General features: G+C 39.3%; 1 pseudogene; it reads right to left on the bottom strand.

The window, feature by feature from the left end:
• On the bottom strand, positions 3,903–5,240 carry LOC101269108 (zinc finger FYVE-type containing 9 pseudogene; annotated as a pseudogene).

The raw sequence follows: 24,519 nt of genomic DNA on the forward strand, positions 1-24,519 counted from the left end.
GGTGTCTCGCTATGTTGCCCAAGCTGATGTCAAACTTCTGGATTCAAGCACTTCTGCCCAAAGTGCTAGGATTATAGGTGTGAGCCACTGTGCCCAAGCTAGTGACTATTTTTGAAAAAAAAAGCACATTACCCTCCCTTGTTAATCACTTATGTACAAAAATGCATGTTTTGCTGTTGATCTGTTTTAACTCTTTCTACATAAATAACACATTTGTACATGTATATGTGCAGATATATTTATAATGTTAAAATTGTGTTTAAGTGATGTTTACTAAACAGGATAAAATTTTGTTTGGAAAATTGCGATGTGAAATTTTATCTAGTTAATCTATAGTCCTTTCCCTTATGGTGTCCAGCTCTATGCAGGCTCTGCCTCACTCCAGATTATGTAAATATCAATTCATATTCAAATGAATTTGAAATTTAGCTTTCAACATTTGCCTTTTTAATTCATCTTGAAATCATTGTGGTAATATTATTTCCTGTCCACTAGCATACTTTTTAATCCCAACAGTAAAGTTTCTGAAAAGACCACTAGTTCTTCTATTGAGCAGTTACTGATACCTTGCCATTGAAGGGGAGGATAGATGCCCACAGCCCCTCTCCTTCAACCACATATGTCCAAGTAAAACTAGTATTTCTTCTTTTTAAAAAGATAGACATAATTATTTTCCGTATTATTGAATACATTTCTGTTGTAACCTCAGTTCTACTCTTCAGAATCCTTTGTTCGATTTTCTTGTAGTTGATTTGATGATCCCACTCACACTTTCCTACCAGTTGTTCCAGAGACGATGGGCTTAGTCACACAGTGGGGAGACACGTTTGTGGGGGTTGGGTGGAAGTTCTGGTTCAGGTCTGCATCTGTTCACCATCATTTATGATGATGCTGTAACTCACATCTGCTCTTTGATGAGAAGTCACACAAGTAATTGCTAAATTAACCCGTCAAATCTAACTATCATTCAGCTATGTCTCACTGAGCCTTTTCTGGACAAATCGTGTTGTTCTCAAGAATGTTTATGTGACTTTATCCTTTGTGCAAAGGCTATAGGCAACGGAAGCGATAGGGGAAGTATGTGGAAGGTTGACCCACATAGCTGTTGCCATATGCAACTTTTCAATCTTCTTGAATTCTGCTTCTCTTCCCAGTTCTTATCATCCATAGTGATTTTTGGAAAAACTGCCACTACATTGGCATTGTGAGTACTCAGAGTGGTGTGTCTCTTCTCCTTAGCTAGACTGTCAGGACAATTCTATTCGCTTTCAGACTTCCAAATGTCATCACATCTTATTCGTGCCTGACCTCCTTTTCTCTCATTCGCAAGATATTCATGGCTCCTTTTAAATAGGATAGTGGCCAAATGGAAAGTGTGTTATTTTCTGAAAAAATTGCTGAAAGGTCAGGAAAGTGGCAAATGTATTTGCTTATAAAATTTTTAAGGAAAAAATTAAGGTTGAAATGAAAGTAAGGATATTTTCATCCAATTACCTCATTCAATTATCATAATCAAGGTCAGAGAAGAAAGAAACTTCAGTTCAGCCTTTGCTAGAAGTAACTTGCAACAAATCACACATCTACGGACTCTGACATTCGCCCAGTGATAGCAGCAATGTTCCACATGTCACATGCTATACTGAAATATAGCAATTAAAATAGTTTTCAATGCAGATCAAGCAGTAATTACTTTTGCCCAGAAATCTTAAAAAATAAATTGTATGTGGAGAACAGGAAGCTTAGGAAATGAGGGTGCCTTTTATCTTTGCAGTGACAATTTACCTTGCGCTCGCAGTGACATTTTCTAGATTTTAAAAATCAACGTTTTTTATTTTTATTTATTTATTTATTTATTTAAATCTGCTGGCCCTTTTGCTTTTAGCAGCCACAGACTTCTTGGCCTCTCAAATGCCCGGATGCCTGAAACTTCTGAAGAGATACCGCCTTCAACTTCTTCTCAGTCACAGCACGGTGTGAACACATAGCTCCAATGATGCCTCTGCTTGCTTCAGCCTGCTGGTGCTTAATTAGGTGCTTATCCTAACACATTAGAACATACTTTCTGTAGATGGTTTAATTCCAACCATCATATATGCTTTTTCTCAGATTTTCTCCAGCTTCTCAAAACTTCCCTGTAAATGAGGCCTTGTAGGCAGCTTTCTTGCTATGACCTCACCTTCCATTCAGCACAGAAACAGCATCCATTGCTGTTATGCAATGGATAAAATTGTATAACAAAGGTTATGGTTTCATATCTTTAATGTTACTGGCAGACTTTACTCCTGGCCTTCTCCTAATCAATAGGCCAGTCTTCCCCTCCCCAATCCCCCATTTTTAGCCATCTAATTTTATTCCTTACATTCGTTCTTACAAAGGCAAAAACCTGGCCGGGCACGGTGGCTAATTCCTGTAAGCCCAGCGCTTTGGGAGGCCAAGGAGGGTGGATCATGAGGTCAGGAGATCGAGACCATCCTGGCTAACACAGTGAAACCCCGCCTCTACTAAAAATATAAAAAAATTAGCGTGGCAGCGGGCACCTGTAGTCCCAGCTACTCGGGAGGCTGAGGCAGGAGAATGGCGTGAACCCGGGAGGCAGAGCTTGCAGTGATCCAAGATCGCGCCACTGCACTCCATCCTGGGTGACAGAGCGAGACTCAATCTCAAAAAAAAACGCAAAAATCTTTTTTAGCCTTCTCTTCAGAATGGTTAAAATATATTGGCAACAAAAAAAATTTTTACAAATGATTTAAAACACAAATTATTTGCTTATTATTTTTCACAGTAATAACAAAGAATATAGACACTATATATGTTCCAATCACATTGATCATGCAGAAAATAAATATTCTTTGGTACTGGTTTTCCTTTGATCACAAACAGATATGAGGGCAAAATGTCTTATCACTTATTTACAAATAACTGATGGCCAAAATGGATAATTGTCATGATAGAAGTTATTGACACTGGCTGGGTGGGGTGGCTCATGCTTGTAATCCTAGCACTTTGGGAGACCGAGAAAGGTGGGATCACCTGAGGTCAGGAGTTTGAGACCAGCCTGGTCAACATGTAGAAACCCTGTCTCTACATAAAAAAAAATAAAAAATAAATAAACACTCTTTGGTTTTGGTGGTGGGCACCTGTAATTCCAGTTACTTTGGGAGGCTGAGGCAGGAAAGAAGTTATTGATACAAATATTTGCAAAAATAAAAAGTTATTTGATACCCACAAACAATTCCAAAGTATGTCCATGTGCTAATTTGTAAATAGGAAGGAAGTTCTTATTTTGAAACTTGCAGCCTGGAAAATATTTATAAGGTTGTTATGACATTGATAACTGGAGTACTTCCTATATCAACTTACTGGAATTTTGGAGACTGACTTTAAAATATAATAAAAAGGGAAAGACAGGGAATTGAACTTCCTTCTCATGTTTTTTACAAATTTTACAGGGAGCCAGAGTCTCATTTATGTAATCACAGATTTATTTTACAAGTTTGGACTTGCAAAAATACGCCAAAATTTGAATGTCTTACCCATTTTTTTGGGAAGCAGCTAAAATATGTAATGCACTGACCTTTTAATGTTCACTTTGATTGGTTAATGGTTACACCTTTACAGCTCAGTCAGATTGTAAACAAGGGGACAAAACTGAATATATAAGGTCAGAGAAGTATACTGACAACATTTATGAACCCCTATACATTTCCTATGAATAAAAAATGATTAAAATTCATACGTTTGCTTTTTAAATATATACATAAGAAACATCAAAAATTAATTCAAAGCATATATTAGCAAATATATTCTTAATTTTGTCTTGAATAACCTTCTTTAGGTGTGCCTTTTTCTACAAAGTTATGTCTTCATTAAACATTTTTCAAATTATTAGTATTATTATTTTTAACTGATGCTTCATATTTTATTTCCCCTCTGCTCTCCCATCCCACCCTTGGTGATGGTTGTGCCCATCTGAGCATTTCGGGGCACATGACCGTAAGTAAATCTTGAGAGAGGAGCGGAATTATTGTCTAAACAGTAACAGAAGGGGATTACCTGTAAGGATAGCATAACTGTTGTGCAGGAACAGAAGCTGCCCAGATCTTCTTGGTGGAGAGTGCATAGAAAAAAGACTTAGAATTATGGAACATCTGTCCCCCCAACCACCCTTTCCCACCCATCCCCCAAACCCCCACTCCAACCCTATTCCCCGCCCAATTAATAGTGTTAACAAAAGGTTAATCTAACTTTTTTTTTTTTTTTTTTGACGGAGTCTTGCTCAGTCGCCCAGGCTGGAGTGCAGTGGCGCGATCTCAGCTCACTGCAAGCTCCACCTCCCGGGTTCACGCCATTCTCCTGCCTCAGCCTCCCAAGTAGCTGAGACTGCAGGCGCCCGCCACGACGCCCAACTAATTTTTTGTATTTTTTAGTACAGACGGGGTTTCACCGTGTTAGCCAGGATGGTCTCCATCTCCTGACCTTGTGATCCGCCCGCCTCGGCCTCCCAAAGTGCTGGGATTACAGGCGTGAGCCACCGCGCCCGGCTTCCAGAATATAAAAAATGAGTTCCATGACGACAGGGCTGAGCTGGCAGGCCCCTCCATGGATCACCGGCACCAAGGCGCTGTCCAAATCATTCATGGACTGCGAGGGAAGGGGCTGGCCGCTGCTCCCTGCTTGATAGCCAGCCTGATCTGAGTCAAGTGTTACACGTAGTCCCAGTTTGGTCATTCCATCCTCCTTCAGAAGCTTCAGGAGCAAGGCAAAAAGCCTTGGCAACATGCTCAGTCAATCTACTGTGATCTGTAGGATCACTGAGGCAATTGTGCCGGTCATCGTTTCCTTGTAATCCCAGCACTAGGATTTCTAGGAAATCCTGGGAATCGTTTTCTAGAAAAAACGCCTCTGTCCATATGATGACTTTTCCATTTGCTTTGTATTCTGATCCGTGGAATATCTTCACATTTGTTATAGTCTCCATGGACTTCCCGTCTATAGGACTTACGACACCCTTGCTAACGTTCTTGTCATCATCCACTCACTGGATGTGCATGCGCTCCTGGGGATCCTCCGCGTCTGCCTTCCCACAGGTGATGCTGAAGTCCCTCGTCTCTAGCAGTGCCTGCCTCAAGGAATCCATGTTCTCTGCAGTGATCTGGACCATAACGCCATCTTCCACAATACTGGACTTGGCAAGATATCCAGAAGAGGATTTCAGAGCGCCACCGAACACAAAAAAACTGCTTTGAGTTTGCATATAGTTACAGTAGTACTGAAAAATCCTCGCAATTTAGGTTTTTGTTTTCAGTTTTGTTTCTCTGTTTTCTAGTGCATAATGACTTAATAAATATTCATTTAACAAAAATTGAAATCTCAAAGGTACATATAAATAAACAATATAAATAACCATCCTTATTACAGTTAACTTTGTGCTTTAAAAAAAAAAAGGCATCCAAAGAAAGACAGACGTATTCATGCAATAAAATCTTAGCAATCCCTGCAATAGTTTTCCAGAATTATCAGCCCTCCCATCTTAGTCTGGACAGAATGAAAAAAAAATTAGTTCTCTCGTGTTATTCTTTGAGCTCCAACTAGGAAAAATTACTGAAAACAGCTGGACGTTACAACTGTTTTGGGCAGAGAAGTCACACTGTTCAGGAGGACCCCACGGTAGAAACTGTTTTAAAAAAGTTCTTTTTACTTGAAATTACACAAGAAAGCAGAAAATGACATTGCAAAAAGGAAAAAAGTATAGGCAGGAACATTGTTACAGAAGCCAGGTGACAATGAGAAGTAGAGAGTAGAAAGCAATCAACCCTTTTGACCACTGAGAATGAGGATAGTAGAAATTCAATGGCTCATGGATAGCAACAGTCACTCACATGTCAATAACAGGGATTCTGAAGAGTCAGACTTATGCATACACAGAGCATCTCTACCACATGCATGAATTGTGTGTGAGTTTGGTGATAATGAAGAGAGACAAACTGCTGCATCAACTAATATACTCTGGGAGTGAAGAGCAGGATAAAAAAAAAACTGTAGAGACCACTACTCTAGGTCATTTAAGTATTTTAAGGGGAAAAAAATAACATAATAGAAGAAAGTGATAACTATCTGGAGTGGTGGGATGGGTGGCTTCTGACACAGCTCCCATGTTTCTGATTCCACCTCCCGATATCTTGTATTATCTCCCCTTCTTGAGTATGAGCTGGACCTGGTGCCTTGCTGCTAAGAAACAGAATTCAACAAAAGTAATGCGGTGTTACTTCCTTGGTTAGCTAACAAGGAACTATGTCTTGCCCCTTGCTAGCCACCCCCAACTCTTGCTGGCATTTCCTCTTGCCCTCTCGCTTGCTTGCTTTGATAAAGAGAGTTGCCATGTTGTGTGATGCTTTGTGGAGAGACCCACGTGACAAGGAACCAAGGGAGTTTACAGCACAACACCTGGCACAAAACTAAAGCCAACAACTATGTGAGTGAGTCTGCAAATAAATCATTCCCTGTCCAGCCTTAAGATGACTGCAGACTTTTAAAAGAGTGAGAGTCAGAGGCCACAGCTAATCCACATGTGGATTCCCACCAACAAAAATTGAAATAATGTGTATTTTAAAATGCTAAGTTTGGGGGTGATATGTTACATATAAATAGATAAATAATAAAGATGGTTTGGCATGGAGATAATGACAGAAAGGAATTCGACTATTTTAATAGTCCAATGAAGAGGTATGAAAGATCTGAATTTGGATGGTAGCAGTGTGAATGATGTAAAAGAATGTGAGATTCTATAAGGTAAGATTTTATAGGACCTACCAATAATAGGGGTGAGAGGAGGATAGAGAGATGGGAGAGAGAAAGGGAGGGGGAAAGAGAGAAAAGGAGAGGGAGAAGTGGTAAATGAACAAGATTTTTAGTTCAAGTCAGTAGGAAAACCACTGGCAGAGTTGTTTTATTTAAGCATTAACAATTACTTTCCGAGCAACTGTGATGTGTAAGACATTATGTTATCTGTACTAGACACTGAGATGAACCCTCAAAATGGTGACGCCCTCAAAATGGTATAGTGCAAAGTAGAATGTTGTGAAATTTTTCCTAATGGAGAAATTCATCCAATTAGCATTTGAGGAAAGGTATATGTGAGTTGGACTTTGGATAGTAACATACAGAGATTAGCATTAGAAAGGAAGCAAAATATTTCATTAGACATATAAAGAAGTCAATAGTTTATTTTCACTAGATTGCAAGCATATGAAAAAGACAACGGGAAAATGTGTCTCAATGTCAGCCTAAATTTAACATCTTATTCTGTAGTGAAATCACAGGACAAGTAAATAGATGTCTTGCACTTAGGACAAATTATTTAAGTTTGTTGAAGAAATGAGATGATTGATTTTATTTTTAAGTAATAAGTAATGTGAGAAAATCTGCAATCAGTAAGATTTATGTAGATCCAGGCTCAACAAACTACTGCCGATGGGCCAAATCTAGTCTGCAGCTCATTCATGTAAACAAAGTTTCATTGGAATATAGCCGTCCTCATTCATTACGTAATGTCTATGGCTTTGACAGAGACTGTGCCACCTGCAAAGTCAAAAATATTTACTATCTGTCCCTGGACAGGAAACGCTTCTCAATCCCTGGTCTACATCATAAAATGGATTTGAGTAGAGAGAAAGAAAAAAAACTCATTAAAACATATGGGGTGTTACTGCCTTAAACAAGTAGTATACTAACAATAGAAATGGAAAGGAAAAGTTGGAGTGTGCATGTGGGTATGCATCTGTGTGCATTTGTGTGTATGTGATGAAAACTGTTTAAATGCAGGGTACAATATAGAAGAGGAGGCCATCGTGGTGCTTAGATGGCTCTGAATTGACAGTCTCCTCCGTTAATATTTAAGTGCAATTTTGGAGAAATAAGTCTTTCCACTCAACTCTTAAGTGGTTTAATCAACTGGCCATAATTTTTTCCTAATGGTTAGAAAGGATAAGTTACTCAGAAGGAAAAGTAGTATTGATTGAGAAAGAATTATAATGGAAGGGGGGGGTGATTGCATACTTCTAGGAAAGCTGGAGGGAACAGCTAAAAAACAGTATGATACTGAACACTTGGATGAAAGCATGAGTGAAAGCAGGTGAGAGCAGCCCTAAAAGGAAGCCAGTTTGCACCAAAAGTAAACACTGGTTTTCATGCTGCCTCTTGTATATATGTATCAAAAGATACTGGTACTTAACGTATAAATTAGAATATTAACTTTTAAAATATGAATTGAACTTATATGGGGTTTAAAAAAATCAATTATTTAAAAACATCACCAGGTTCCTTTTGTTGTTTAAATTCTCTCCTGATAGAACTAAATAGGGGTCTCTTAAACAGGGTTCAAGAAGCAGAAACATACATAATGGTACTCAGGATTCAATGCATTAAAGATTAATATTCCTTGAATTAGAAGAGCCGAACTAAGCATCCAAACACCAGATATAGGTCTAGAATAGCAGATACATCTAAGTAGGTTTCAACTGTCTAAGGGCACATGCCTGGTGCAGGGACATGAACAAATTGTGAGTAAACAGGGATAAAAGCCCTATGAGGGATGTTTAACATTGAAATGTATAAAGTTTTTATTTAATCACAAAGTTTTCTATATTGGCTAAAATTTTATAATGATAATGAATTATTCATGTGGAAATTAAAAACTGTTTTTTTGTATTTTTAAAGAAAAAAGCACAAATACACCCATAGAACACTGTGAAATATTATCTTTCACAATGTACACCAGGCCAGGAAATTATTGGGCTAATTTGAGTCTTCAACAAAATTTTACTTTGTGAAGAAAGAAATAAGACAATGCTGGAGGGACCAAGGTTTTCATTTGCCTGTGCTCCTTCTGATGCCATCTTTACTCTCCAGGTGAAAGGATGTTTCTGAGATCAATATTCCTCTCCTTTGATAGTTACCTTCTTTTAAAACCTACTGAACACTGACTTACTCAGCTCTTCTCTATTCTTCCCCGTTTCCTCTGGGTCCTTTGATAATAGATGCTGGTATCCCTGTCTGTCATTCACTCCTATATGGTTCTCAGGATTTGTTTGCTGTTCCTCCCTCTGTTAACCTGAACCTTATGGGCCAAAGTAAATTACTCTCCCAGCACCTTTTATACAGAGTGGTCCATAGTAGTTTTCCTGACACCTATGTTATTACACATTTCTCTCCAAGAACATCTCTAAAGCTTTATGATTTATACATTTGAGTTACCTTAGACCAATTGACCTAAACACAAGATATGCTGTCACATTTTAAGCTGCTTCCTCAGAATATGTTGGTTGAAATCTACTGCCTCTCCCTTGTCCAGGGTTTCTAAATACCCGTAGGGTAGCTTCTCAATAATATATATTACTAATAGCTCAGAATGATTATTATACTAACAAGAACTTTTTACTTTCATTACTGTGTCAGAGGACTCGGAATATCATTAGCAAAACCTGTTTAGAACAGCCATCTTAAATCCTTGTTGAACCAATTCCAGCATGCTTTTAATCTAAGTAATCCTGGCGCCGTGGCTCATGCCTGTAATCCAATCACTTTGGGAGGCCGAGGCAGGCAGATCACGAGGTCAGGAGATCCAGACCTTCCTGGCCAACATGGTGAAACCCCATCTCTACTAAAAATACAAAAATAGTTGGGCGTGGTGGCATGTGCCTGTAATCCCAGCTACTCAAGAGGCTGAGGCAGGTGAATCTCTTGAACCCAGGAGGCAGAGGTTGCAGTGAGCTGAGATCGCGCCACTGCACTCCAGCCTGGTGACAGAGTGAGACCCCATCTCAAAAAAAAAAAAAAAAAAAAAGAAATCTTGAGTAGTACATTCCTTCCCAAGATGAGCATGCAAACAAAGATAACATGACTTTTTATTCTATATGTACGTTTGAAAGATCTCTTTAGTCCTTTAAAAACTTCATGAGATGTATAATTTTATAAATATTGAGATGCTTTGGGAAAAATATTGAAGAAAGGCCATTTGATTAGGCATAAAGCACTTAAAGTGAATGACAAGAAAGTTGCATAGGTCAAAATAGGTCCACAAAAATGTATAGATTAATGAACCTTCCAATGTGAACTGACTGTTTCTCTGAGTGTCTTTTATAATTATGGGTGAAGGCTGAGGATTGGGCCTGGCCCAGATATGGATTAGGGGTAAAATAAGCAGTGGCACACAAAAGATATTTTCCCTGAGGCATATTGACTGAATTATTGTGATATATGCAAGAATGAGGAGTTATTCCAGAAGATTTCAAGAGACAGAATAAAATCTTCAAGAGTATCACAGCAACTGGGAGACAAACTCATTGCAAAGAAGAGAGCCTGCCCCAAAAGCATGGCCAACTCCCTTGTTCAACACATTTCTAAGATTTTGAAGCTGAATAGGGTGAAATGCTAAAGAGCTAAGCCCAATACCCCTGAAATTAAAATTTAATCTCCAACAACATTTTTTGAGACTAATGAGAAGTAGTTCCAACCAGCTCTCAATCAAAAGCTCAAAAGGAACAAACTTCAGAAACAGAGATAAGCCAAAGATGCCAGTCTTACTGAAACTAAAACTGAATCCTGACTGCTCCAATATCTGATTGTATTGGTAATGACTTTCTCCCAACACTATCTGCTTAATAGAGAAAAGTGGGAATACATTCTAAAACTACTATTATCAGAATACTTTATTATTCTTTTATACACAATGTCCAGCATGATACAAAAAACGTCTAGATATGTGAAGTGGCAAAAATTGTATTAATCAAAACACATGTGCACAATAAGCACAGCTCACTGATTCACAGTTCAGAATTTAGCAGACAAATTTAGAATGACCGTTGCTAATATAATAAAAGTAGGCAAACTGGATGAAATGATGGAGAGTGCAGCGAAGATTTAAATATCTGTAAAAAGTCACACAGATATTCTAAAACAGAAACATAATAATTGAACTTATGTCACTGAATAGGTTTGCTTTAGAATAAATGTAGTAAAACAAGTTAACCTGAAAAGAGATTCATAGAAATAATATAAATTGATCTATAGAAATAATCTCAACTGAAGAGATTTAATAAAGCAGAACAAAAAAGACATAAGGCACTGTCACAACATCTACTATAACTAAACTGGACATAAAGACAAGTGAGAGAGAATGGAGAAGCAGCAATATCGGAAGAGCCGTTGGTCAAAAATTTTGTAAAATTGATAAAGAATATCAACCTACTTGCAAGAAACTTAACAAAACCTAAGGAATATAATACAAATAAAACTTTACCTATCCAGATTATAAGCTGCTGAACCAAAACAAAACTCTCAAAAGTAAGTAAAAGAGCACAAATAAGTATTCCAACAAAAACAATAGAAGCTGGAGACAATGAAATGGCATTTTAACATGCTGAGGGGCAAATTTGCCAGTCTAAAATTTAATAACCAGTGAAAAAACACATAAAAGTGAAGCGCAGTAAAATATATTCAGACAAGTAATTGTTGAGAGAATGTTTGCCTAGGAGAACTGAACTACAGAAATACTAAGGAAAGTTCTTCAGACTAAGAAAAAATTATCCCAGAGAGAAGCATACAATTAGAGGAAGCAATGAAATTAACTGAAATAAAAGCCTTAAAATATTGGCACAAGAAGTTCTAAAGATCTGAGTAAGTTCTGTATGTATTATAGAAACTATATTTATGATTAACACATTTTACACACACACACACACACACACACACACAATTCCAACCACATGTGGATTACCTGGTGAATCCTTACCAAAACTTAAGGAACTAATTGAACTAGTCTTACACAAGCATTTTCAGGAAATAATACAAAAGAAAGAACACTTTAATTTTTTTGTGGGAAGCCAGTAATCATTGACACAAAAATCCGAAAGATATTAAAGAAAAGTAATTTATAAAGAATATTCACCATGAAAATAAACCTGAGAAGTAAGGATAAATATAATTAACTTGTCTTTTACAAAGTTTAAATGTTGAATAAAATATATGACAAAGAGTGGGAGTAGCTAAATAGTGTTCAACTGCTCTAAGGTCCTTACATTGTTGGAGAAGTGGAAAAAGTACGAACATACTTCAGAAATAGTAGTCCACAATAGTTGAGAATAAATATTATATCCTCTAGGATAACTAAGGTACTTAAGGTAGTCCACAATAGTCTAGAATAAATATTCTGTAGGATAACTAAAAGTACTAAAAAGGAATTACAAGTATTTTAATAAAATGAAAAATAAATAATTATTCTAAAAATGGAAAAAAGGCCGGGCGAAGTGGCTCCTGCCTGTAATCCCAGCACTTTGGGAGTCCGAGGCGGGTGGATCACAAGGTCAGGAGTTCCAGACCAGCCTGACCAACATGGTGAAACCCCATCTCTACTAAAAAATACAAAAATTAGCCAGGCGTGGTGGCGCATGCCTGTAATCTCAGCTACTCAGGAGGCTGAGGCAGGAGAATCACTTGAACCCAAGAGGCGGAGGCTGCAGTGAGCTGAGATGGCACCACTGCACTCCAGCAGGGGCAACAGAGCGATTAAAAAAAAAAAGCCAAAAAAGGAAATAAGAATAAAAAAAGATAGTACAAATATAAAAATATTAAATCCAGAATTTTAAAGATTAAATCCAGAATTTTAATACAGAAGATTGTTTCAGAAGATTGTTTCAGAAGATGTGGAATAACTACCACTCTTATAGACTGTTGTGTGAATGTGAATCTGAACAACCATCTTGAAAATTCTTTTGGCGAGATCTACTGAAGTTAAATGTTTGCATACCCTTTGACCCAGCAATTCCACTCCTGGGTATATATACTCAAGATCAATGAGTACTTCAGTCTAACAAAAGATATATATAACATATTCAATTAGCATTATTTATAGTAGCCCAAAATTAGAAACAGATGAATCATCCAATAGCACAGTTATATATTCATAAAATGGAATACCCCTATTAAAATTATAAAGTATGAACTATAGGTATATACAAGAATCTCATAAATTTTGAAAACCTAATATTGAATAAAATCAGCCATATGCAGGAGCATATATACTGCATGATACTATTTTTATGAAGCTCATTAACAGCCTATTAACATTAATTCATTAATGGAATGAATCTATATAAATAGAGGTCAGTATAGGAGTTATCTTTTTTTGGGTTGTAGTTGACTGAGATGGCAAGAAGAAGGTTTATGGGGTATTTGTAAGATTTTTTTTTTTTTTTGGAGGTGGAGTCTCTCTCTTGTCACCCAGGCTGGAGTGCAGTGGCACAATCTGGGTTCACTGCAACCTCCGTCTCCTGGGTTCAAGCAATTCTTCTATCTCAGCCTCCCGAGTAGCTGGGATTACAGGTGCCTGCCACCACACCCAGCTAATTTTTGCATTTTTAGTAGAGACGGGGTTTCATCAGGCTGGCCAGGCTGCTCTTGAACTCCTAAACTCAGGTGATCCACCCGCCTCGGCCTCCCAAAGTGCTGGAATTACAGGCATGAGCCACCGCGCCCGGCCTGTAAGATATTTTTTATCTGAGTTGTTCCATGTATGAAGCTATGTGAAAATTCAATGAGGTGTATACTTAAGATCTGTACACTCTGTTATGTGTAAATTATACATTAATATTTAAAAGAAAAATGAGTAGATTAATAAAACACAGTTTGGTTTTACAGATACCTATCTATGACCCAACCATTCTACATTTAAGTATATACCCAACAGATAAGACTGGGAATTTTTTACACCAAAAGACTTTCATTATAATATTATTTTTATATGCAGACACTCAAAACAGTTCAATTGTCCACCAACAGCAGAATGTAAAAATATTTTATGGATCATTGATAGAGTGGAATAAAATACAGCAATTAAAGAACTGCTGCTACATCTGTGGTGTCACAAATATGCCTGCATTCATAGAAATTTCCTCAGGAAAAATGAATCTATTGTAGAGGAAGTCAGAAAAGTGTTCTATTCGGTAGAAGAAAATCAATGAGGCATGAAAGAGGCTTCTGAGGTGCTCTTGTTTATGGTGGTCACATGACTGAGTCCATATTGAAAGATTATAAAAATTGTACACTTATGATTGATGCACTTTTTAGTCTATAACAATGTATTCATTTGTAGGAGCTGCTCTCCAAGGTACCACAAACCGGGTGGCTTAAAACAACTCACATTTATTGTGTCACGGTTTGGGAAGCTAGAAGTCTGAAAACAAGATGTAGTCAAGGTAGTTTCCTCCAGAAGGATATGAGGGAGGCTGTCTGTGTCTCTTGCATCTCTCCCAGGATCTGGTGGTTTGTTGGAAATCACTGGTGTTTCTGAGTTTACAGATGTGTCAGCCCAGTCTTCCATATAGTGTCTGCATATAGTCTTCCCTCTGTGCATGTTCCCCTTGTGTTCAATTTTCCCCTTTTTATAAGAACACTAGTAATATTGGATTAGTACCCACCCTAATGACCCCATTTTAACTAGACAACCTCTGTAAAGACTCTGTTTCTATATAAGGTCACATTCTAAAGTATTGGGGGTTAGGGCATTAGCATATATTTTCGGGAAAAACACAGTTCAACCCATAACAACATATAATTCCATTTTTAAAATCCCAAAATTACATCTAGCCTAAAAAGGAATGAAATTGAAATAAAGATCGCAGAGGCCTGCAGTAAGCCTTGATGATGTAATACCTGTTTATAAACCAAATGTTAGAATGGCTTGAAACAGAATTGAACATTTTTGCGCTATAAGACACATAGGAGAAATTTTAAGTACTTTTTTTGGATGAGACATTAGTCTCAACAAGACTGAATGATTTTCTTTTAAGGTCACACATTTAAATAGTTATCAGGAGAAATAGCGACCAGAATCATAGTCAAATACCCACCTACCCCCTTTCCAAGACAACTAAGGTCTCAAATTGTGCCCATTTTTCTCAAATTATTTCTAGAATGTTTAGCAAAAGAGGCTTTTAATTTGGCATATCTTTGTCTACAATTTTGTAGTTTATGTAAAGAAAGGTAGACTAAGGGAATTTCATTTTAAAGGTGAGAATCAGAATGACATTTGTGAAGCTATGATGCCTGTGCCATCTGGCATACACGAGGGTGTAGTACTAAATGGGATCAGAATGAGCTCCTTTTGGAAGGAAACCTTTAATAGACTGGGAAACATTAAGGGAATCTTCCCTTTTTTATTTTTATTTTATTTTCTTTCTTTCTTTTTCTTTTCTTTTTTTTTTTGAGATGGAGTCTCGCTCTGTCACCCAGGCTGGAGTGCAGTGGCGTGATCTCGACTCACTGCAAGCTCCGCCTCCTGGGTTCACGCCTTTCTCCTGTCTCAGCCTCCAGAGTAGCTGGGGCTACAGGCGCCCACCACCACGCCCGGCTAATTTTTTGTATTTTTAGTAGAGACGGGGTTTTACAGTGTTAGCCAGGATGGTCTCGATCTCCTGACCTTGTGATCCGCCCGCCTCAGCCTCCCAAAGTGCTGGGATTACAAGCGAGAGCCACCATGCCCGGCCTTTTATTTTTAATAGAGCATTGGAAAATGAATTCTGCATAGCTGGCTAATGAAGGAAATCCAGAGTCATTGCCAAAACCAAGTTTTAAAGGAATTTGCAATCCTTCACAGTTCATTCAAGGAGGCAATGGAAATTTTGAAGAAGAAATTTTTTAAAATCTTTCTTAAAAGGAGCCCTTACATTGGCATTGTATCATGACTAAAGTCTTGCTCCCTCCCTCTCTCCCTTCTATGCTTTTTGTTTCTCTTTTCTATCTTTCAATGACATCAGTTTCATGGAGATAAATGGTTAAAAGATAATGATTACAACACATACAGTTGAGTGACACAAATCTTGTTGTAGTGTTAGAAATACATCAATACATTGGGATCATAAAGAGAAATGGCAAGAAAAAAATCTAAGTTAATAACAGAAAATGCTGATTCCCACAGTCCGTGTGGAAAATACACGTTTTTTTTTATGTCAGTGGAGATAACTGAGACCAGTTAATATTGTCAATTCTGTTCCTTCTGACTGAGCCAGGTGAGGCAAAATTTAGCAGATGACTTGAGGGACAAAACTATGACCTTGGCAACATAAAAATTAATACTGTCTACATTGTTTACTAGGAAATGCATGCAAAATTAATACACTCTTGGTAGTACAGGTTGGTTTCACTTCTATAGTGTGTGGTTACTAGAAAGCTGATTCAACAGATGATAGATTCAACAGACGACATAGAATTGTCTAAAATCCAGCCGGGCGCAGGGCCTCACGCCTGTACTCCCAGCACTTTGGGAGGCTGAGGAGGGCAGATCACAATGTTAGGAGATCGAGACCATCCTGGCTAACATGGTGAAACCCCGTCTCTACTAAAAATACGAAAAAATTAGCCGGGAGTGGTGGTGGGTGCCTGTAGCCCCAGCCACTCGGAAGGCTGAGGCAGAAGAATGGCGTGAACCCGGGAGGCGGAGCTTGCAGTGAGCGGAGATCGCGCCACTGCACTCCCGCCTGGGCGACAGTGCGAGACTCCATCTAAAAAAAAAAAAAAAAGAATTGTCTGAAATTCATCTTCAATTAGTCCATGGCATGTTTTGGAATTTATTCACTTGTTTGCCTCAGGAACAGTAGCCGTTCAGATTTGTTCTTTGATTTTGGAAATGAGGTTACCGTGCTCTGTAGTGTCAGGAAGATGACGTGGCATAATCAGGCAAACGGCTAGGCATTTTCTCAGCAGTAAATTACCAGTGCCCTTGCTTGCCATAATACCCACAAAAGGCAGAGGCAGTTTCCTGAGGCAATCCAGGCCACAAAGAACTGTACATTTGGGGAAAACGTATCTTCAAATATATATGTTAAAATCTAAAAAATTGGTTAGTATGTATTACTTTTGTGGATATTTAAACATTCCCTATGCATAAAGACCTAGTTAAAGAGGTGCAGGCATTTGGCATGTTAAATAACTCCTTGATGAGAAACCACACTACGAATAATAAATATGACTTCATAAAAATGAAAAATAATGAGATTAGTTTCTATTGAACTATTCTTGCTTAGAATGCCCCTGAATTTCAGTCATAGAAATTCACTTGTACCTGGGTAAGTTACAAGTTCTTATTTGTGCTGGTTTCTGTGTCATTGGCAATTAAAATTTTGGTAAGTTGAATAAAAGATCTTTCTAAAAAGGGAGTTCTTTTTTTTTCTTTTTTGAGGGGGACGGAGTCTCGCTCTGTCGCCCAGGCTGGAGTGCAGTGGCGCGATCTCGGCTCACCGCAAACTCCACCTCCCGGGTCCATGCCATTCTCCTGCCTCAGCCTCCCGAGTAGCTGGGACTACCGGCGCCCGCCACCACGCCCGGCTAATTTTTTTTGTATTTTTAGTAGAGACTGGGTTTCACCGTGTTAGCCAGGATGGTCTCCATCTCCTGACCTCGTGATCCGCCCTCCTCCGCCTCCCAACGTGCTGGGATTACAGGTGTGAGCCACCGCGCCCGGCCAAAAGGGAGTTCTTACACTGGCAATGTATCATGATTAACGTTTTCCTCCCTCTTTCTCTCCCTCCCACATATGTATTTTCGTGTCAGTATATGTATATGTGATTTGTGCCATTTGTGTGTGTGTAGGTAAATGAAAGTGGCATCAAGAAAATCTCACATTAAAAAAATTTGAGATAGTACAATTCTTATGCATCATATGTTGCATAATGTTTGACTATTAAGAAGTTTGCATCACACGTCTACTTATTTCATTAAACATGTTACAGGCAATTAATTTACTTACACCCTCCGTTTCTTTTTTCCCCCTCTCTGGGTCTCCTGCTACAGGGTCATTATATGTTCCACTCACAAAATGTCCTTGTTTTTCCCTTACTCCTGTCATTGATCTTCTGAATCTTTCCGGTGAATTTAGCATGGATGTTTTGATAGAAAGCTCTGGCATTAACTCTGGAGTTGTTTTGCAAGGAAGATTGTTCGCTTTTTCACCATTTTTTTTTTTAGGTCCTTGAAGTGTTTTCACATAGATATTTCACAAGAGCCATTTCAGAACTGAGAACATTCGGCGTGCACTTTTCCTCTTTTGGTCCCACAGTTTTTATGAGTCCTACTTGAAATTATGTTTGCTCCCGTTTCAATTGTAATATTGCACTTACTCATTAGTTTTTAGTTTGAACTCTCCTGGGAGGTCTAATGTAGAGTTTGGACAAGGACACAGATTCATAATAAACCTACCCAGTCAATTTGGTATAAAGGCTTAGAAGGTGGAACTGGCCACATTTTGAATTGGAGGTAAGGATCAGGAATGGTAATGGAGAGACATACAGGATTTTCTTATGGGAACAAGAAACAACCTCTGGGCAGTATTAGAGCCCAGAGAGTGAAAAGCCTCTTCTAACTTCAATATTCTATGTACAAATTTACAAGACTTTTTTTTTTTTCTTTTTTTTTGAGACGGAGTCTCACTCAGTATCCCAGGCCGGAGTGCAATGGTGCGATCTCAGCTCACTGCAAGCTCCGCCTCCCGGGTTCACGCCATTCTCCTGCCTCAGCCTCGCGAGTAGCTGGGACTACAGGCGCCTGCCACACCCGGCTAATTTTTGTATTTTTAGTAGAGACTGGGTTTCACCGTGTTAGCCAGGATGGTCTCCATCTCCTGACCTCGTGATCCGGCCGCCTCGGCCTCCCAAAGTGCTGGGATTACAGGCGTGAGCCACCGCGCCCGGCTGAGACTTTTAATTGACAGACTGCATTGCATAAGCCAAAGGCCAACAGAGAGGTGACCTTTCAAATTACTGGCACAACAGGAGCCGAGATCAGAAAGCTCCAACTTAATGCAAACATCGACAAGAAATCCGACAGAAATGACTTCTGTGTCTGGTCAACTTAACATAACATGACATATTGTCAAGCGCATTTTGCTTTTTAGGTAGAATTGTCTATAACGATTTAACTGCTTTAGAAAATATAAATGTGAAGATTTGTGGTATTCGGGTTTATATATAAGATATTTCTACATTTAAAAGAGACAGAGTGGAAAAGCTTGATATAAGATTTGTAAAATATGTTTGTAATAATGCTAATGGAAGAGGTGAGAGTTGGGTGGGGTGCGGTGTAGATGGGAACATGGTTTGGGGATTGGGGAAAGGGAAGTCATGCTGTAAATAAAATAGTGAGGCATGTTGTATAAAGTGTGTTTTATGTCTCAATTGAAATGTTATAGGGAGAAATTTAAAATAGATCATGATTGGTTTTGAATCTGATTTCTAATTTTAAAATGTTATGAGCTTTTGTTGCTTTCCTATTTCATACACATTTCTTTATGGGTTTCACTTAGACTGCATGAAATTGCAGATGCCAATTACCTTTCAATAAAATTAAATTCACATATATGTATAATTTGCATGTATATATTCACGGAATTTTTTATTCTATACGTGACATTATTTTTAAATGGTTTATCAATGACATAACGTATAATTTTTCTATACTTTCAGTTTTCTGGTTTGGATTTTTTCTGGCAACACTAATTTTCACCTACCTATACTCATTGATAGTATAAAGTTGTACAAGTGCATATTTTACCATGATTACAGTTGAATAGATGACTGGAGGTACATCTATGATGACTAATACTTTCTAAACACATATTTACCTCTCATATATCTGTGTAAATGATTGTAAGAGGAAGGGGAAAATAGAGATGTATCATTAGGTATACTGTCTTAAAGCACATTCAGCTGCTCTCATGTTTGGAGAATTTTGAATGTGATGAATGTTTCTCTTTCACCACTAACAGATTGTGTGTGTGAGCCAGATTTTATTGCAAGTGTTTGAAAGACTATTGCAAATATCGGATATTGCCAGACAGTTGGTAAAAAGCAAATTGAGTCTATTGAGAAATTAATTCACCAGCTGAAGGAAGTACATTTGCCTTACAGTCATCAGATATTCTACCCACCAGACTCATCTCCGAGATAGCATCCTAATGAGCTTCCTAAACCAACTAAACATAAGCAGGAAGCATCAGTCGTCAAAACTGACTCTTTTCAGCCAATCAGCTGACTGCACAAACTGCATGGCATTGAGGAAAGGAAGAACATTCTGGAAGTTTTTTTTTTCATTCTGCCCTCACTTTGTTGGTTTCTGTTTTACAGATGCAGTGTCATGCGCAGAACCCTGTAAATGAGCATAGTTCATTCAAGTATATAAAGTGCTTTCGTGTATTATTATTCAGTGGAATAAAATGAATGTTAACAGGCTTAAGTGATTTTCCTAAAGGCACACAATTAATGTATGGCTGGAATTCAAAATCGGGTCTTTTCCTCTGTTCTGATTGTTCTATAAATAGGGGTGTAGTGATTGATTTTCTACCCACCATGACAGGGAATAGGTTCAAAACTTAAAACCCTGTTCATTTTATAATTAGGTAGACTCAAATGACAGGTCAAGGCAGGGAGGGGAGCCGGTCATTTTTATTTCCATATGGGTTTGCTCCTTCAAAGACAGGATTGGGGTAGCAGGGTCAGTTCCTACAGGTTATAACGATCTTAATGATAAAGTTAACTAACCATAACTGAATACTCATAATGTGCTAGCACTTTTCATAATGTATCCCAAATAATACTCACAAAACCTTCCAAATAAATATTACCTTTTTGTTATCTTTGTTTTATTTTGTTTTGTTTTGTTTGAGACAGGGTTTCAGTCTGCTGCCCAGGCTTTAGTGCAGTGATGCAATCATGGTTCACTGCAGCGTCAAACTCCTGGGCTCAAGCAATCCTCCCACCTCAGCCTCCCAAGAAGCTGAGACTACAGGCATGCACCACCACTCCCAGCTCCAAATAAATATTCTTATCCCATTTTACTGATGCAGAAAAACGTATGGCCCAGAGAAGTAATGTTAAGTTTATTGGGGGATTTAAGTTGTAAAAAATTATTTTATCGAACCCTAATGTAAACTATGGACTCTAGGTGATAGTGATGCGTCAGTGTAGGTTCATCGATTATAACAAATGCATCATTCTGGTGCAGGATGTTGACAGTGGGGGAAGCTGTGTGTGTATGGGAGTAGGGAGTCTATGGGAACTCTTCTACTTTCCACTCAGTTTTGCTGTGAGTCTAAAACTACTCTAAAAAATGAAGTTTATTAATCAAGAAAAAAATTCTTATATTTTATGAATATATGGGACAGCTATTCATGTATGTGGTAAAAATGAAGAGATTTGTTACAGTACTCGGCAGGAGTGTGTCTAATATGACTGATATTCATGTGTCACATAAAAACTGGCTTCATAACCAATCTGTAGATTCATTTCATTTGTGTATGTTCACTTAAGGGCGCACACATGGAAACCCTTTGGTGTTATTAGAGGTCTGTTGGGAGGGCTCCTCTTTGGTGGAAGCTATGTCTATTTCTTAAAAGTGATTTAAGAGTAAGATGTGAAATAGCACTCGCCCCCGAGGATGGAGCCAACAGAGGATAGGGGAGTTATTTGATGCTGTCTCTGAGAGACTGGAGAGAGGAATATAAAAAGTTTATTCCTTAAGAAAGAATAGGGGAGGACTTCCTTACCTGATATCTCAGATTATGAAGCTACAGTTCTCTCCCTGCTTTAGGGAAAAATAATAATAACAGACTTTTGCAAAAATCAATTACTGAACATATTCCTATATTCTAGATTTATAATGAAGCATTTTTGTACATATTCATTAAAAAGAGTAATTAAAATATTTTTCTCTGGTTTATAGTAACTAGGATGGCAACACAGATATATCTTGGAAGTATTTCGTGGTATGATTCTTCAACATAAAACTATTCTTAAAAACTTCTTAGAAGTCTCCAGGTACTCAGGAATAAGGTCATTATAAATTATTCCTTATTGACCATAAGAAAAATAATTAGGCAAGACCACAAAACTAAATGTTTAGACTGTTTCTCCTGTTTCCTGATTTTCAGGTTATTTTTTATCCCAATTTTATTTTGCTGTATGGTCATACATTTCATCTTTGAAATAAAGTATATAATAATCACTTTTTTTTTTTTTGAGACAGAGTCTCGCTCTGTCGCCCAGGCTGGAGTGCAGTGGCACGATCTCCGCTCACTGCAAGCTCCGCCTCCTGGGTTCACGCCATTCTCCTGCCTCAGCCTCTCCAGTAGCTGGGACTACAGGCGCCTGCCACCATGTCCGGCTAATTTTTTGTATTTTTTTTTTTTTTTTTAGTAGAGACGGGGTTTCACCGTGTTAGCCAGGATGGCCTCGATCTCCTGACCTCGTGATTTTCAAAGCTGTTTGAGGGCATTTATCAGGCTTTTAACTCTAGGTACTCTTTCCCGCAGTGTGAAGGCCAAGAGAAGGGATCCTGGGCTCTCTTCCCTGGCCCGAGGACGGGAATTCAGGGGGAAAATTCTTATCTACTCTTATCCCACAAAAGAAAACTTATTCATCAGTTGTCAAGCTAAGGAGCTTCAGAGTCCATAAAGAAGGAAATTGCTAAGAGGTTATCAGTAGTGTCCACCCCCCATCCCCACCTGGGGTCACGTGGAGAATGATGGTGGGGGCGCCGATCTTGTCCTACTTCAGGTGAAAAGCAGGGGTGTGGGGGGGTTTCATTGTGAAGGGCTCCTTTGTTAAAATTCCTTCCAATTCCAGGAAAAACATGCACTCCAAAACCATTATCTCTTTTACTTTGTACTAGGGGACTTCCAGGAAAGAGAGAGAGGAGAAAGAAGAGGGCAAAACAACTGCAGTGAATGTAGTCACCTCTCCAATTGCCTTTCTTGTTGCAGAATATTTCACATTCCAGGAGTTTCCTTCTTGACCTCTGGACTGTTGATACACCCAAGATCTTAATATGCTTTCAATCACAGGTTAAAGACATCAAGCGCCAGATCGCTTGGGCCTAGGAGTTCCAGACCGGCCTGGACAGAATAGTGAAACCCAGTCACATTTTTTTTTTTTAAGGGGGAGATTTGCTCTTGTTGCCCAGGCTGGAGTGCAGTGGCGAGGTCTCGGCTTGCGGGACCTCCGTCTCCCGGGTTTGGATGGTTCTCCTGCCACAGCCTCCCGAGTGGCTGGGATTGCGGTGTGAGCCACCATGCCCGACTAATTCCCTAACTGTGCAACTGCAAGGTCACTAAATAAACTCAAGTCACAAAACATATTTTTCCTTAAATAGTAAAAAATAATATAATGTATGTTTCAATTAAATAAGTATCTTTGTTTCTCGCTTCTATAATATGCTTCTCCCTGCACAGATCTCCCCCTTCGCCCCACATAATGCTTGAAAGGTAACTCTTGGTTCAGTACTCAATCCTTTAAATGTTAATCCGACTGGGCGGGTGCACCTAAATAATTAATAAATGTTCTCCTAAATCCCATGAGTCTATCTAATTCCTTAAAAATCCCGCTACAGGATTGCAGGTGTGAGCCACCGCAGCCCAGGCCAATTTATTAATCAGAGAGGAATAGATGGGCCTGGCTTGGTGGCTCGCGCTTGTGATCCAAGGACTTTGGATGGCAGAGCACTGGGGATCATTTGAGCCTAGGAGATCCAGACAGGCCTGGGCAACATGGTGAAACTCGGTCTCTCTCGTTTTTTTTGTTTTTTTTGTTTTTGAGGCGCAGTTTCGCTCTTGTTGCCCAGGCTGGAGTGCAGTTGTGCAGTCTCGGCTCCCCGCCGCCTCCGCCTCTTGGGTTTGGATGGTTCTTCTGCCTCAACCTCCCTAATGGCTGAGATTGCAGGTGTGAGCCACCATGCCTGGCTAATTTTCTTTTTTCTTTTTTTTTTTGGTACACACAGGGTTTCCACCTGTTGGTCAGGCTGGTCTCAAACTCAGGACCTCAGGTTATCCGCCCGCCTTGGCTTCCGGGGGTGCTGGGATTGCAGGCGTGAGCCAGCACACAAAGCCCAACTGATTAATCAGAAAGGAATAGATCGGCCTGGCGTGGTGGCTCACGCTTGTGGTCCCAGGACGTCGGACGGCCGAGCGCGGGGGATCGATCACTTGAGCCTAGGAGTTCCACACCGGCCTGGGCAACATGGTGAAACCCGGTCTCTCTTCTCTTTTTTTTTTTGGTACAGACAGGGTTTCTCCATGTTCATCAGGCTGGTCTCAAACTCCCGACCTCAGGTTATCCACCCGCCTCCTCGGCCTCTGGGGGTGCTGGGATTGCAGGCGTGAGCCAGCGCGCCCAGCCCAGTTTATTAATCAGAAAGGAATAGATCGGCCTTGCATGGTGGCTCACGCTTATGATCCCAGGAATTTGGACGGCTGAGCGCGGCGGATCGCTTGAGCCTAGGAGTTCGTTCCATACTTGCCTGGGCAACATGGTGAAACCCGATCACTTTTTGTTTTGAGGCGGAGATTGGCTCTTGTTGCCCAGGCTGGAGTGCAGTGGTGAGGTCTTGGCTCAACGGGCCTCCGCCTCCCGGGTTTGGGTGGTTCTCCTGCCACAGCCTCCCGAGTGGCTGGGATTGCAGCGTGAGCCACCATGCCCAGCTCAT

The sequence above is a fragment of the Homo sapiens genome, chromosome 15 (genome assembly GCF_000001405.40).
Source record: "Homo sapiens chromosome 15, GRCh38.p14 Primary Assembly".
NCBI lineage: Eukaryota > Metazoa > Chordata > Mammalia > Primates > Hominidae > Homo > Homo sapiens.